Source organism: Homo sapiens, chromosome 18 (assembly GCF_000001405.40).
Source record: "Homo sapiens chromosome 18, GRCh38.p14 Primary Assembly".
Classification (NCBI taxonomy): Eukaryota; Metazoa; Chordata; class Mammalia; order Primates; family Hominidae; genus Homo; species Homo sapiens.
The window spans coordinates 54074464-54090415 of NC_000018.10; the positions used below are offsets into that span (position 1 = coordinate 54074464).

At 40.1% G+C, this 15952-nt stretch overlaps 1 annotated feature.

Moving 5' to 3' along the window:
- Positions 12509-12558: an enhancer, noted in NCBI's record as "active region_13338". NCBI's record gives its function as "activates an Ori minimal core promoter by ATAC-STARR-seq in GM12878 lymphoblastoid cells {active_cell/tissue: GM12878}" and the evidence as "EXISTENCE:reporter gene assay evidence [ECO:0000049][PMID:35858748]".

Genomic DNA, 15952 nt, shown 5'->3' on the forward strand with positions numbered 1-15952 from the left:
TTAGCTAATGCCCAGGCATCAACCATATGACTGGCCTCATGGATAGGTATATTGTCTGTCTATCTGGAAGGCCCCATGGCTTATTTGTTAACTCAGTCTCTTGGTTCCCAGTGACCTCCCCCACCATTGGTCTTCAGCCATCCTTTCCCACAATTATATCCATAACAGCTCCATCTCCAAAAGTGCTAACTCAGACATACTGTTCTCTGACCTCACCTCTTCTCCATGTAAGTGCTCCTACTTCAACCTCCAGAGCATTGATTTCTCTGCCTTCCCTCAATCTATAAGCCCTCTATTTTCATAACTCTCTTACCTAGCTAAGATTACATTTTACATCACTTCAATAATATCTTGAGATTTTTTTATTACATTCATTTGGCAAAAATCCAACCCTGAATAAATAAATCTGTTTTTTAATTTTTAATTTTTATGGTTACATAGTAGGTGTATATATTCATGGAGTACATGAGATGTTTTGATACAGGCATGCAATGCATAATAATCACATCATGGAGAATGGCATATCCATCCCCTCAAGAGTTTATCCTTTGTGTTACAAACAATACAATTATACTCTTTTAGTTATTTTTAAATGTACAATTAAATTATTATTGACTATGTCACCCTGTTGTTGTATCAAATAGTAGGCCTTATTCATTATTTTAACCATTATCTTGTACCATTAAACATCCCCACCTCCCTCCCACTCCACCCCATCCCACTACTCCTCCCAGCCTTCGGTAACTATCCTTCCATTGTCTTTCTGCATGAGTTCAACTGCTTGATTTTTACATCCCACAAATAAGTGAGAACATTCAACGTTCGTCTTTCTGTGCCTGGCTTATTTACTTAACATAATGATTTCCAGTTCCATCCATGTTGTTGCAAATGACAGGATGTCATTTTTTTAAAATAGCTAAATAGTACTCCATTGTGTATAAGTGCTACATTTTCTTTAGCCATTCATCTGTTGATGGACACTTAGTCGGCTTCCAAATCTTGGCTAGTGTGAACGGTGCTGCAACAAACATGAGAGTGCAGATATCTCTTTGATAGACTGATTTTTCTTTCTTTTGGATATATACACATCAGTGGGGTTGCTAGATTATACAGTAGCTCTATTTTTGTTTTTTTGAGGAACCTCCAAACTGTTCTTCACAGTGGCTGTACTAATTCACAATTGTCCATTTTACCCAACTGAACACCAGTGAATAAACTTTCCCAACAAGGCGAATTAATTCCTCTACAAATTCATGATCACCAAACTCAAAAGCAGTCTCAACTCTGCACATCAGTCTTACAACACTGCATTTCATATGCCTATTTAGGAATTTTTTTGCTCACCTCAAATCACTGAACGCTCCCAACTCAAGCTCCCTCCTTGCTTTCAGCATATGACTCACCTCCTACTTTACAGAGAAATTAGAAGCCATTGGTCAAGGACTCACTCATCCTCCTCATAGCAAATATGCAAATTGGCCACACCTGCCCTTATTTTATCATTCTCGCCTCCAGCCTGCATTCATGCTCCAGTTAAAGATTACACTCCCACCTCTGGATGCCATCTCCTCCCTCTTTCTCAGGGATACTACAGAATACAATAATCTGTTTTGTCTTTTCTGCCTTCCCACTGGATTTTTTCCCAATCTTTTTTTTTTTTTTGAGACAGAGCTCCCATTAAAGAAGACTCACTTTTAATCTTATCCTTCTACTCTCCTTGGAGAGTTGGAAAGTCAGGCTCTCAAAATAATTGTTAGTATTTGCTGTCCCTATTTTCTCTTCTTCCACTTACTGCTCAAACTACTCCAATCTGGCTTCTACTCCCATTGCTACATAGAAACATCCCTCACAAAGGTCATATAACCACATGTTCTTATTTTCTAGGCCTTCAAGCATCATTAAACTTCCTCCTTATCAAAACACTGTCCCTTTGACTAATAAGACACATAGCTTTTTAGTTTTTCTCCTAACACTCTGACCATCTCTTTTCTATTTTCTTTTCAGATTCACCCTTCTCTTCCTAACCATAAAATATCAGAGTTGCTCAAGGATACATCTCAGGCCCTTTCTCTTTTTACTTGACATTTTCTCTTTAGGCGATCTCATTCAAGTGTGTGGCTTTAATTACAACTACATGCATACAGATTCATTATCTTATTTCTCCACTCCCAAAAATCTTTCTTCTGAGTCCCAGACTGTATGTCGACTATCAACTAGACATCCCCAAAGCAACTCAGACTCAGCTTGTTCCAAGTTAAGTTCATGATACGTTCTCAGTAATGTTTGTGGAATAAATGCACAGAAATGGCAATACCAACACAAAAATTCTATCAGTGTAGGAAAACTAAATCCAGAAGAGAGACAGCATTTTGGAAAAATCAGTTGTGAAAGCAGCAAATATCTGTGTACAGAAGAGAGTCTACAGACTAAATTGAGTAGATACAAACCTCAATTTTAATGAAAACAATAAACTGATGATAAAAATAATGGAGGTGAGGAAAAGGGGTATTGAATGACTAAAAAAGAGACTGAACCTGGACAAAGTAACAGTCCCCAACTGAAGATGGAACAACTTACTGACATTCATCTGTTAATAATCAAGAGTGAATATCGAATTAATGTCAATTAATTAATACCGGCATTCTATATATTGATTAAAAACCATTTACCTCATGTAGCGTCTTCTTAAAAATTAGTACAGCTTCCTCCTTCCCCCTTCCCTGTCTCTAATATCTGTTGAAAGTGACCAGTATGGTTATGGGCCAAGCCAAGAAGGCAGCCAGGAAAAGGGGTATTCCTTCCAGTATCAAGAGTTTGTGTACATGCAGGAAAATTTATCTAACAAATGAGTGTATCAGGAATACTAGGAGCAAAGTATTTCATTGTCAAAGAAGCGAATTACAAATATGGAAAGGGATAGTCTAGAATAATCCCTCTGATGTTGCATTGGAATTGGAGGAACAAAAGTGTACTCACAGTTTTTAATACACATAGAAAGATATCAAAATAAATATAGATATAAATACATATTATGTATATACATATTCTAATGTGTGCCTAAATTTAAAAACTGCTGATTCCCTCATACACACACTCACACATACACACATACACACACACACATTTATCAGTGGATTGGGAGTTTTTAAAGATAAATGTGCATCGCCAGAATCACTTGGAGAGCTTTTTAAAACACAAATTAAATTACTGCCCCCCACCCTCCCCCAGCCGCCAGAGTTTCTGATTCAGTGTGTCTGGGGTGGAGTCCAAGGACTTTCATTTCTAATAAGTTCCTAGGTAATGTGGATTTAGCTGATCAAGGGACAACACAAACCACTGAATAAAGGCAAACACACAGTGTGTGTGTGTGTGTGTGTGTGTGTGTGTGTGTGTGTGTGTATTCCCAAGCTCTATCCTGGAAGAGGTCAAGAAGCAGTGATAGCCCAGTGGCAATAGCATGTCTGGCACCTGTATCATGGTTTTTAAAAACCATTCACTACTGAAAGGAATGAAGGCTCCTTTAAGAAATGGCTGATTCTGGAGCTGGAGCAAGAAAAGCAAGAACTGAACCTGGAACATCCTTTTCTGGAAAAAGTAAGGAAGTGCTCTAAGAATGACGGAACATGGCAAAATCACACACAAGCCAGCTTAAAGGAGCTCCTGCTGGCCAAATCTGGGACAATTTGAACATCAAAATAAATAATGGTAGTAACTTGGCCAGGTGCAGTGGCTCATGCCTGTAATCCCAGCACTTTGGGAGGCCAAGGTGGGCAGATCAAGCTGAAATCAGTTCAAGACCAGCCTGGCCAACATGGTGAAACCCTGTCTCTACTAAAAATACAAAAAAAAAAATAGCTGAGCATGGTAGTGTGCACCTATACTCCCAGCTACTCAGGAGGCTGAGGCAGGAGAATTTCTTGAACCAGGAGGTGGAGGTTGCAGTGAGCCAAGATCACACCACTGCCCTCCAGCCTGGGTGATGGAGCAAGACTCCATCTCAAAATAAATAAATATATTAATTAATTAAAATAAATAATGGAAGCAACTGGTCATAACCTATTGAAAACATATTCAATAAAGTAGGAACCCATGAATATATACTGATATAGTGTAGGCTCATAGTAGAATCCAAGTTAATATTGCTTATTTATTAACAAATAATAAATAAGTATTAATTCACTTTATAATGAAGAGACCCCAAAAATACCATCTTGTGTGTGTAAATTTGGGGGGTACAAATGCAGTTTTTTTACATGGATATATTTTATAGTGTAAAGTCTAGGCTTTTAGTGTAACCATCACTCAAATATTGTATGTTTTGTACCCATTCTGTAATTTCTTATCCCTCACCCCCTCCCACCCTCCTACCCTTCTAAGTCCCCAATGTCTATTCTTCCACATTCTATGTCATTGTGTACACATTCTTTAGCTCTCACTTAAAAGTAAGAACACACGTATTTGACTTTCTCTTTCTGAGTTATTTCACTTAAGATAATAGCCTCCAGTTCCATCCATATTCCTGCAAAAGACATGATTTCATTCCTTTTTGTGGCTGAGTAGTATTTTATTGTGTGTATATCTGTATATCACATTTTCTTTATCCAATCATCTGTTGATGAACACTTAGGTTGATTCCATATCTTTGCTATTGTGAATAGTGCTGCTATAAATATATGGGTGTAGGTATGGAAACCATCTCAACCAAAAGATAAAAGTTAACATCACCAGAAATGTGATGTGTGTCTCCTGAAATGGTGCAGAATACAGCATCATATTTGAAGTGTTCCTGACAAACATGCATGATCTCATTCATGAGGAAATATCAGATAAACCCAAGTTGAAAAACATTCTATAATGTAACTGACCTATACTCTTCAGAAAAGTCAAAACCATGATAAGGAAAGACTGCTGGACTGTTCCAAATTGAAGAAGACTTAAAGAGACATTATAACTGAATGAAATTTATAAATCTGGAGTATATCCTGGACATCATTAGGACAACTGGAAAAAGTTCAATGAATTCTGTGAATTAGTAACAACGTATCAATGTAACTTCCGATTTTGATGGCTGTACTGTGGTTATATAGAATTGTCTTTGAATGAAATATGTTCTAAAGTATTTAGAGGTAACAGGCAGCATGTCTGCAGTTATATCACTCAGGGCTCTCCAGAGAGACAGAACTAATAGGATATAAGTATATAGGAAAGGGAGATTATTAGGGAGAATTAACTCACATGATCACAAGGTAAAGTCCCACAATAGACCGTCTGCAAGCTCAGGAGGTAGGAAGCCAGCAGTGGTTCAGTCCAAGTCCAAAAGCCTCAGAAGTAGGGAAGTCAACAGTGCAGCCCTCAGTCTGTGGCTGAAGGCCCAAGAGCCCCCTGCAAACCCCCTCATGTAAGTTCAAGAGTACAAAGGCCAAAGAATCTGGAGTCTGAGCATCCAGTGTGGGAGAAAGATGAAAGCCAGAAGACTGAGCAGGCCAGCTTATCTCACCTTCTTCCACCTGCTTTATTGTAGCCGTGCTGGCAGCTGATTGGATGCTGTCCACCCATATTGAAGGTGGGTCTTCCTCTCCCAGTCCACTGACTCAAATGTTAATCTCCTCTGGCAACACCCTCACAGACACACCCAGAAACAATACTTTACCAGCTATCCAGGCATCCTCCAATCCAATCAAGTTGACACCTAATATTAACCATCACAGGGGCTTACTCTCAAATAGTTCAAGGAAAAAAAAATAGTAATAATATGTAGTGTATATGCATTTACAGAGAACCAGAATGATAAATCAAATGCAAAAATGACAAGAGTTGTGAATCTGAATGAGGGGCATACCAGAGTTCTTTACGACCTTTCTGCAGTTTAAAATTATTTTTAAAAACCAAAATTAAAACAGCCTACCAAATTGATATGAATAGAAATGTTAACTTCCAGTTAATTCCAAACTTACAGTTCTGTTCTTGACCAGATTGTATTGAAAGACACTTTAAGAGGCAGAATAGGGTTGGTGTGTGACCTTGACATTTCATAGGTGTGAGTTTTAAGCAGAATCCTAATGAAAACTTAATTTCTTTTAATCATGGGCTGATCTCTTCATACCTAGATTTATTTTCAGGCAAAACCGTAATGGTGTTATTGTCATTAACATTTAAATGCTTACCCTTTTCAACTCTGAATCATAATTTGGAAGAATTTTTGGACAGTTTTTTCCTTATTAACAGTTTAGTTTCGTAGCAGAACGTGAAACATGTTACATGCAGATATCATTTCCACTATAAACAGAGAAATACCTAATCTTCTCTCATTTTTGGCAATGTTTTCATTTAGATTTTTCTTTCCCTTTTCCTTTTCTTTCATCCTTTGAGGAGAAATAAATATGTTGCTGAAAAACAACCAAAAAATGCATATGCTGCCAACTCCTATGTATTCTGATGATTTGCTAGAGTTTTTTCCTAATCATGTAGACAAATTTGTTCTTTCCTTTGCCAAAATACAGGTTTATTATGACTTGTAATGTAGTAACTTTCCTCAAAAAAAAATTTTTACAGCCTTACCCAACCATACATCTTTATGTACCGAGCAACAACATGAATCACTGTCTAGGGAGTCACTGCATAAATAGAGATGTTAACATACTGGGTCACAGATAAAATTGACTTAAACGTTTCTTTGATCTGCCTTTTAAATCCTCCTCTCTTTCTTGTGCCCTTGTGTCTGTAGATCACATTTCTATAAATTTCACATCATAGCATATTTTCAGAAATAAAATGTGCAGATGTATAATTGTAGTTTACTGGAATAGCATCTCAGCTGGGAGTATTCTTTTGTGGTTGTTGTTATTACTATCCTTAAGCTAATACCATTTAACACTTACATGGTATTTAAAACATGCCGAACCGTCTTTATCCCCAAGACATCCTCCTTCTCCTGTGTCCCCAGTCTCAGCAAGACTTTCTAGACAATTATCCATAAAGAAACTTGAGAGTCATATACATTTCCTTCCTCCCTTTCCATCCCCATGTAATAAACGTTAACTTGGGTTGATCCTGATGATATGGTTTGGCTGTGTCCCCACCCATATCGCATCTTGAATTGTAGTTCCTATAATCTCCACATGTCATGGGAGGGACGAAATGGGAGGTAATTGAAACATGGGGATGGTTTCCCCCATGCTATTCTTGTGATAGTAAGTTCTCATGAGATCTGATGGTTTATAAGGGGCTTCCCCCTTTGCTTGGCTCTCATGTTTCTCTTGCATGCTGCCATGTGAAGCAGGACCTCTTTGCTTCCCCTTCTGCCATAATTGTAAGTTTCCTGAGGACTCCCCAGCCCTGTGGAACTGTGAGTCAACTAAACCTCTTTCCTTTATAAATTACCCAGTCAGCACTAATATAGTAAATTTGTACCACAGAGGATAGGTTGCTGCTCTAAACATACCCAAAAATGTGGGAGCAACTTTGGAACTGGGTACCAGACAGAGGTTGGAACAGTTTCGACAGCTCAGAAGAAAACAGGAAAATGTAAGAAAGTCTGGAACTTCCTAGAGACTTGGAGGGCTCAGAAGACAGGAAGACGTGGGAAAGTTTGGAACTTCCTAGAGACTTCTTGAATGGCTTTGACCAAAATGCTGATAGTGATATGGACAATGAAGTCCAGGCTGAGATGGTCTCTGTTGGAGATGAGGAAATTGTTGGGAACTGGAGTAAAAGTCACTCTTGCTATGCAAAGAAACCAGTGGCATTTTGCCCCCACCCTAGAGATCTGTGGAAATTTGAACTTGAGAGAGATGATTTAGGGTATCTGGTTGAAGAAATTTCTAAGGAGCAAAGTGTTCAAGAAATTACTTGGGTGCTGTTAAAATCATTCAGTTTTATGTATTCACAAAGATATAGTTTGGAATTGGAGCTTATGTTTAAAAGAGAAGCAGAGCATAAAAGTTCAGAAAATTTGCAGCCTGATGATGTGATAGAAAAGAAAAACCCATTTTCTGAGGAGAAATTCAAGCTGGCTGCAGATATTTGCATACAAAGTGAGGAGCCAAATGTTATTCATCATGACAATAGGAAAAATGTCTCCAGGGCATGTCAGAGGTCTTCACAGCAGCCCTTCCCATCACGGGTTCAGAGGCCTTGAAGGAAAAAATGGTTTCGTGGACTGCCTGGGGCCTTGCTACTTTGTGCAGTCTTGGGACTTGGTACCCTGTGTCCCAGCCATGGGCAAAAGGGGCCAACATAGAGCTCAGGCTATTGCTTCAGATGGTGTAAGCCCCAAGCTTTGGTGGTTTACATGTGGTGTTGGGCCTGCAGGTGCACAGAAGTCAAGAATTGGGGTTTGGGAAGTTCCACCTAGATTTCAGAGGACATATGGGCATGCCTGGATGTTCAGGCAGAAGTTTTCTGCAGGGGTGGAGCCCTCATTGAGAATCTCTACCAGTGCAGTGCAGAAGGGAAATGTGGGATTGGAGCCTCCACACAGAGTCCCCACTGGGACACTGCCTAGTGGAGCTGTGAGAAGAGGGCCACCATACTCCAGACCCCAGAATGGTAGATCCACCAGCAGCTTGCACCATTTTTGTGCCTGGAAAAAGCCACACACACTCAATGCCAGCCCATGAAAGCAAACAGGAGGTGGGATGTACCCTGCAAAGCAACAGGGGTGGAGCTGCCCAAGGCCATGGGAGCCCACCTCTTGCATCTGCATGACTCCATGTGAGCATTTTGGAACTTTAAGGTTTAGTGACTGCCCTATTGAATTCTGGACTTGCATGAGGCCTGTAGCCCCTTTTTTTGGCTAATTTTTCCCATTTGGAACAGGTGTGACCCATGCCTATACCCCCATTGTATCTAGGAAGTAACTAACTTGCTTCTGATTCTACAGGCTCATAGGCAGAAAGAACTTGTCTTCTGTCAGGTAAGACTTTGAACTTGGACTTTTGAGTTAATGCTGGAATGAGTTAAGACTTTGGGGGTCTGTTGGAAGGACATGATTGTGTTTTGAAATGCGAGGACATGAGATTTGTGAGGGGCCAGGGGTGGAATGATATGGGTGTCCTCACCCAAATCTCATCTTGAATTGTAGTTCTCATAATCCCCGCATGTCATGGGAGACCTTATGGGAGGTAATTGAATCATGGGTTGGTTTCCCGCAAACTATTTTCGTAATAGTAAGTTCTCATAAGGTCTGGTGGTTTTATAAGGGGCTTCCCCCTTCATTCAGCTCTCATTCTTCTGTCTCCTGCAGCCCTGGGAAGAGGTGCCTTCCGCCATGATTGTAAGTTACCTGAGGCCTCCCCAGCCATGCAGAACTGTAAGTCAATTAAACTTTTTTTCTTTATAAATTACCCAGTCTTGGGCAGTTCTTTATAGCAGCATGAGAACGGACTAATACACCTGCCTTCACAACAGCTCTCTTATCCACCCCTCTGTATTCCCATTGCCCTGACTTGTTTCAGACATGCAACCTTTCACTCCTGCCTTAGTCACATGTCTCCTCTCCCCTCCAGCTCCCTGCACAGCCCCCACCCACCCACACAGCAATCAGATTTATAACAGTCTGACAATCACATCTCTCTTTTACTTAAACCTTTAAAGGATTCCCTTTCCCTACAAACTACATACACTCCTTACCTGATCTAATTTTATTTCCATCTTCCTCTCCAGTCCTGGTTCTTGCTGTATGTAATCTTAGACCCTATACCCTTGACTTCAGTAATAATGAACACCTTACCTTTTCTTGAATATGTTCTAGTTCTATGCTTACATTAATCTCTTTGCAATATCTTTATTCCTTATCACAAACTCAGTCCACTTATGTAGTTCTCAGTATCTATTTTATTTTACTGCACCTATAAGGTAGTAATTGTCTTACCACCACTTTTAAATCCCTAATACCCACAACAGTACCTGGCATACATTAGTCATTCAACACATAGATGCCAAATTACTAAATTCTGTATTTAAAAGTCCAAACTAGATGCTTTCTACATGACACCAATCCCAGTGGAAAATATATAGTGGCCATGTTAGGATACTAGAGATGTCCAGTCAAGGAAATAACAAGACACTTCAGCCAGGAGTCAGGACACTCAGGAAAACAGTTGAGAAATTTTAACTCAGGGACAGAAATTTAGAAAGGATTTTACCAGGCAATAAAACTAATGAGAAAGCAAATGAAACTAGAAAGTAAGATACATGCAAAAGACAAAGGCCAAAAGATCACACCAATCTGGAAGTATTGCCTGGACAAAGAAGAATTTGGAACATACAGGACACAGACCAAGCATGGAACAGAGCTGGGAACTCTATGAAGTCAAGAACCAGGAAATTGATGGGAGGAGCTGGCCAGAGGCATCCAAAAGAACAGAAAGCTTAAGGAAAAAAGCTCCTTTTTGGGTGGTGGTGCAAAGCAGTCAACGCCGCCCAATGCCTTGACTCAAACATATTTCACCTTGGCCAGGTGCAGTGGTACATGCCTGTAATCCCAGCACTTTGGGAGGCAAAGACTGGAGGATCACTTGAGGCCAGGAGTTTGAGACTAGCCTAGGCAACATAGCAAGACCCTTATCTCTACAAAAAAATTAAAACTTAGCCAGGAGTGGCAGTATGTGCCTGTAGTCTCAGCTACACAGTAGGCTGAAGCAGGAGGATGGTTTGAGCCCAGGAGATCAAGGTTACAGTGAGCTATGATTGTACCACTGCGCTCCAGCTTGGGCAACAGAGCAAGACCCTGTCTCTAAAAAAAATAAAAAATATAAAAGCACTTCACCTTCATGCAATCAGGGAGCTAAATTACCTTCAATATGAGCATCTTCACCTTTGAAAACTCTTCATGCTTCAAAGACTTGGTTTTTGTAAGTATAAGGTTATTCAATACCAATTCTAGTGAATGAGATGGGTGACCAAATTCACAGAAACACTTTTGGTCAGAAACAAGGTATGATCATGAAGTAATAAGATTGATTTTCCTCTGTAGCTCTGGCTGTAAAGGGAATCCCAAAAGAATAGTTTTTAAAAACATTTAAACATCTTAAGGTTTAGAACGGCATTACTGAGATGAATGAACAGCCTCTCCCACCTCCCCCAAGGTGACTTCTTCCAAATAAGATAGAGTATACTTGGATACACATTTCAATGTGTTTGCTTAAAAATCAATTGCATTAGGGGCTTTGCCCAGCATGCATACTACAGAGTATTAGCTCCATTGACAGGGGGCAAAAAATAATATTTCTGTGGGCATAGTAGTTTGGGAAATAATGAGTTAAGTAAATTCTCTTTCCTGGCATTCTTTTCCTGGTCTTTTATATGGTGATGCACCTGTGGCTCTTCCCATAGTACTAGGATGCTTATTTGGTGATTTGACCATTTCACAGAGCATCTCACAGGGCCAACCATTCCATGCAACACTCTTTGGTGAAGAGCTTCTAAGGAACAGAGATGAACCATAATCAAATTCTGAATTTTTGGTAAGTTATTTTCCAAAATATAAGTCAAAATGTATAGCAAATTTTATAAAACTTATATAACACATTATTTCCTCATCCAAAAATATTGGGATAATAATGCCTACTTCATATACATATTGATCCTTAAATGAGCTAATGCATTTGGAGCCTCACTGAAAAAGTCAACACTGAGGAACCAGAAAGATGAAAAAGAGAGTGCACATGCATACAAGAGGAAAAAAACACTAACACAAACATGCAAGATAAGTGGAAAGGGAAAAGGAACAGCAGCCAATGCTGTCCCATGCCTAGACCCAAACCCACTTCCTCACAGCAGGGCCAGGAAGCTACACTGCCTGCAATATGAGTATCTTCACCCTTGGAAACTCCTTATTCAGATCAAAGGTTTGGGCATGCTTTTTTTCAGATAGTTGTGGAGATTATAATTCTAGAATTCGACAACTTTTCTAAGCAAAGCCTGTTGAATATAAAGCTGTAGTCAGTGGCTATCTATCAAACATGAGTTGCGGGGTGTATTAGGCCATTCTTGCATTGCTACAAAAAAATGCCTGAGACTAGGTAATTTGTAAGAAAAGAGGTTTAATTGGCTCATTGTTCTGCAGGCTGTACAGGAAGCGTAACATCAGCAACTGCTTCTGGGGAAGCCTCAGGAAGCTATAACGTTGACGCAAGAGTAATTGCGGGTTTTGCTATTGAAACTAAAACCACAATTACTTTTGCACCAACCTAATATACTCATGGTGGAAGGCAAAGGGGGACAAGTGAAACACGTGGTGGAAGCAGGAGCAAGAGTGAGAGAGAGAGAGAGAGAGAGAGTGGCGGGGGGAGGTGCCACACACTTTTAATTGACCAGATCTCTGGAGAACTCACTATCACAAAAACAGCACCAAGCCAAGCCATGAAATTTCTACCCCCATGATCCAAACACCTCCCACCAGGCCCCACTTCCAGCACTGGGGATTACAATTCAACATGAGATTTGGATGGGGACAAATATCCGAACTATAACAAGAGGGAATGAGGAAAGGCCCGCCCAACAAAGCAGGAAACCCCAGGAACCTGCCACTCTACATTTAATGCCTGCTCAGCATTGCAACTGTTCTTTAAAAGGTAATCCACAAGGGAGGGGGAAGTGAGAGTTGTTCAAGGGGTATAGAGTGTCAGTTTTGCAAGATGAAAAAGTTCTAGAGATAAGTTGCCCAACAAGGTACATGTAGTTAACACTACTGTAATGTACACTTCAAAAAGGTTAAAATAGTAAGTTTTCTGTTTTGTGTCTTTTACCACCATAAAAAAAGAAGTTGACTCGCAAGCATCTTCTGGCATGTTCCAGAATGAGCAGAATATGTAACCTGCATTTGAAAAGAAGGAAATTTGGTGGGAAAGAGTAAGAGAGTAGAAGCATGGGTCATTTTCCACCCAGAAGAAAACTTCCATGGAGGGACCTAGGCAGCCAGCAGACCATAGCAGGGTACTGGGTGTGTTGGGGATGAGAAAGTGGAGAGGATGGAAAGGAAATTGAAGGAGAGTGGCTAAGAAATGGTGGGGGTGAATAGATCAGGGCATCTGTCACCCTGTTGATCCAATTGACCTATCTGAGTATGTCTTTACCAAGGCTGTAAAGACTAATTTTCTAATGTTGGAACATCAGTCTTTGATGAAAGATAAAGGAATAGCAATCCCCTGCTTGGACTTCCAAATAAGCTCTCAAGCCCATTTGTTGGAATCCATAGAAGCCACTCACATTTTTGCTTTTATAAGTGCCTACTCTGGTTTTTTGTACACATTAGCTCACTTAATTTAAAAAACACTATTATCATTATTATTATTATTTGCATATGTAGGTAAGGAAACAATATCAGAGATATTAGAAAAATCTCTTCAATATCACTCAAACAACAGGCTGGGGATGGTGGCTCACACCTGTAATCCTAGCACTTTGGGAGGCCAAGGTGGGAAGATCGCTTGAGCCCAGGGGTTTGAGACCAGCCTGGGTCACGTAGTGAAATCTCGTCTCTACAAAAAAAGAAAAAATTTAATTAGCCAGGTGTGGTGGCACATGCCTGTAGTTCCAGCTACTGGGGGTGGAAGTGCAGGGCTGAGGTAGGAGGATCGCTTGAGCCCAGGAGGTTGAGGCTGTAGTGTGCCAAGACCACATCACTACACTCCAGCCTGGGCAACAGAGCAAGACTCTGTCTCAAAATAATTAATAATTATAATAATAATAACAGAGCTGAAAATTAAGTCTAAGTATGTTTGGCAGAAGGCCACAGCTGATTCCATTAATAGACAAATATATTATCATTTGCTGAGAAACATTTGTTGAGTACCTACAATCACAAAGTATGATAAAAAGAAGCTTGTCTTGTAGAAAAAACAAAGAGATATAAATCTAGCTGGGAAGATAAACCATACACCCATAAGAAGATTGGTGCCACAAATTCAAACCAAGAATTGCTCATGGCTGTATCTATTATTTATTGGCACAATAGGCTGCCGAACAAACCACCACAAAATGCAGTGGCTTAAGACAATCAGCATGCAATAGCTTCCAATTGTGCTGAGCAGTGATTTAGACTGGTCCCAGCTGGACTAACAACCCATGCCTAGCAGTAGGCCGAAGTCCAGCTGTTCTAGGATGGCCTCTCCTGGAATGGCTGGGACAGCCTGGCCCCTCTTCATTCCATCCTCCAATCTTTCTCATAGGGGGTAGGGAAAGGAGAGAATCAATACAGAAAATGAAAACACATACATGCTTTTTCAGGCCTCTATATGTCCCATTTGCTGATGCCAGTCATGTGACTGAACTAGGATGGAAGAGAGGGCAATGAGCTCTAGCTCTGTAGTAAAAAAAAAAAAAAAGAAAAAGAAAAAGAAAAAGAAAAAGAAAAGAAAGAAAGGAAAAAAAAACTGCAAGTCACGTGGCAAAGAGCAGAGACCCAGGGAGGATGAAGAATTGAGGTCAGCAGTGCCATCCAAGTCCCGCAAGAGCCAATGGTGGCTGTAACAGAAGGTCTGAGTGCAGTGGGCAGGGTGCTCTTCTGAGCATCTCACATAGTCTTTAAATAATTCTCAAAGCTTTTCTACGTGACAGTGATTACTATCCCCATTTTATAGATGAGGGAACCGAAGTACACAGAGGTTGACCATGTAGCCTCTGTCTGTAAATGGCAGAGCCTAATTTAAACACTGTCATGTCTGACTCCAATGACTTTTTGTTTCAACTTGGACTTCAGAGAAAATTATTTTAAATAATGTTAAAAGGGATGATTTAAAATTTAAAATCTAGTTTGAAAAACATGACATTTTATCAAAATTCCAATCATAAGCTCTATAGTTTCTAAAAAGATATTTTATAGCAATTCTTTAATAATATTTGACAAATGAGTCAAGCCATTGAACACTTATATTAGATATAAGCACATTACCTTATTTGCAAAACTCTTCAGTAGGATTCACAAAAATTATGGTAAACCTAAATTAACACCAATTGTCTTCTGGCCTGGACACTAGGGAATATTTGAGTGTTACATGCTAAACAAGTGACAAAAAGCACCTGAGAGAATGTGCTACCTAGTATGCTTTTACATGTACAAATTCAAGAAAGTATTATAATGTATCTTTTAAAATGAAATTAAAGCTTCTTAAGTGGTCAGAACACCATTGCACTGAATTTAGAAAACCATAAGCAGGACAGTCACAAGCTATGCCATTTGCCAACATGGTCCATTACATTTTGTTCATTACTGCAGTGCATTTACCACGAAGAGCAATAAATCATTGAGAGCTATGGAAAATCTGGCCTCTGAAACAGATGCAGTGGCAAGATTCAGCACAAGACTTGATCAAGATAATCCCCACACAATTAAGAAACTGTAGCTCACTTTTGGCAACAGTACACTTCAATTTCCTTTCCACCTTTTTGTTTCTCATAGCTCCTCACTGTGATACTATCACTTAGTTTGTGTTATATTCCTCTGGTCTACCTAGCAACAGGCGAGGGAGGTGGGAAGAGAGGAAAATCCCAAGAGTCATGCATTACTTGCCTTGTAGGGAGGGCAAAAGCAAGGAAGGGGGTGGAAGGATTTTCAAGAAAGAGATTCTAACACTGGTTCCCTGCTTGGTCATCAGCTTAGGCAACAGGCTTGTTACTATGCCCTGCACTTTAAATAGCAAGATAGAGATAGGTCTGCAGCAGAGCAGCAAGCCCTTGCCAGATTTAGCCAAACAAGGATGGTGACTGTGCCATGGGCAAAGTAGACACTTCAGATGCTAATCAGCTTGAGCAATCTTGTCAGTACCCACCCTAGAGAGCTGTTCATCAGGACAAGACCTCACTGAAAGAGCCTTCAGCAAAGACCACCCACCTTGAGAACTAAACACGCTGACTGTGCATAGCAAGGAACAGTCTGCAGGTGGATCTCACAAAATCCCACTAAATCCTCCTAGGGATTCACACATTTGCCCCAAAGGGGCCAGCATTTGGA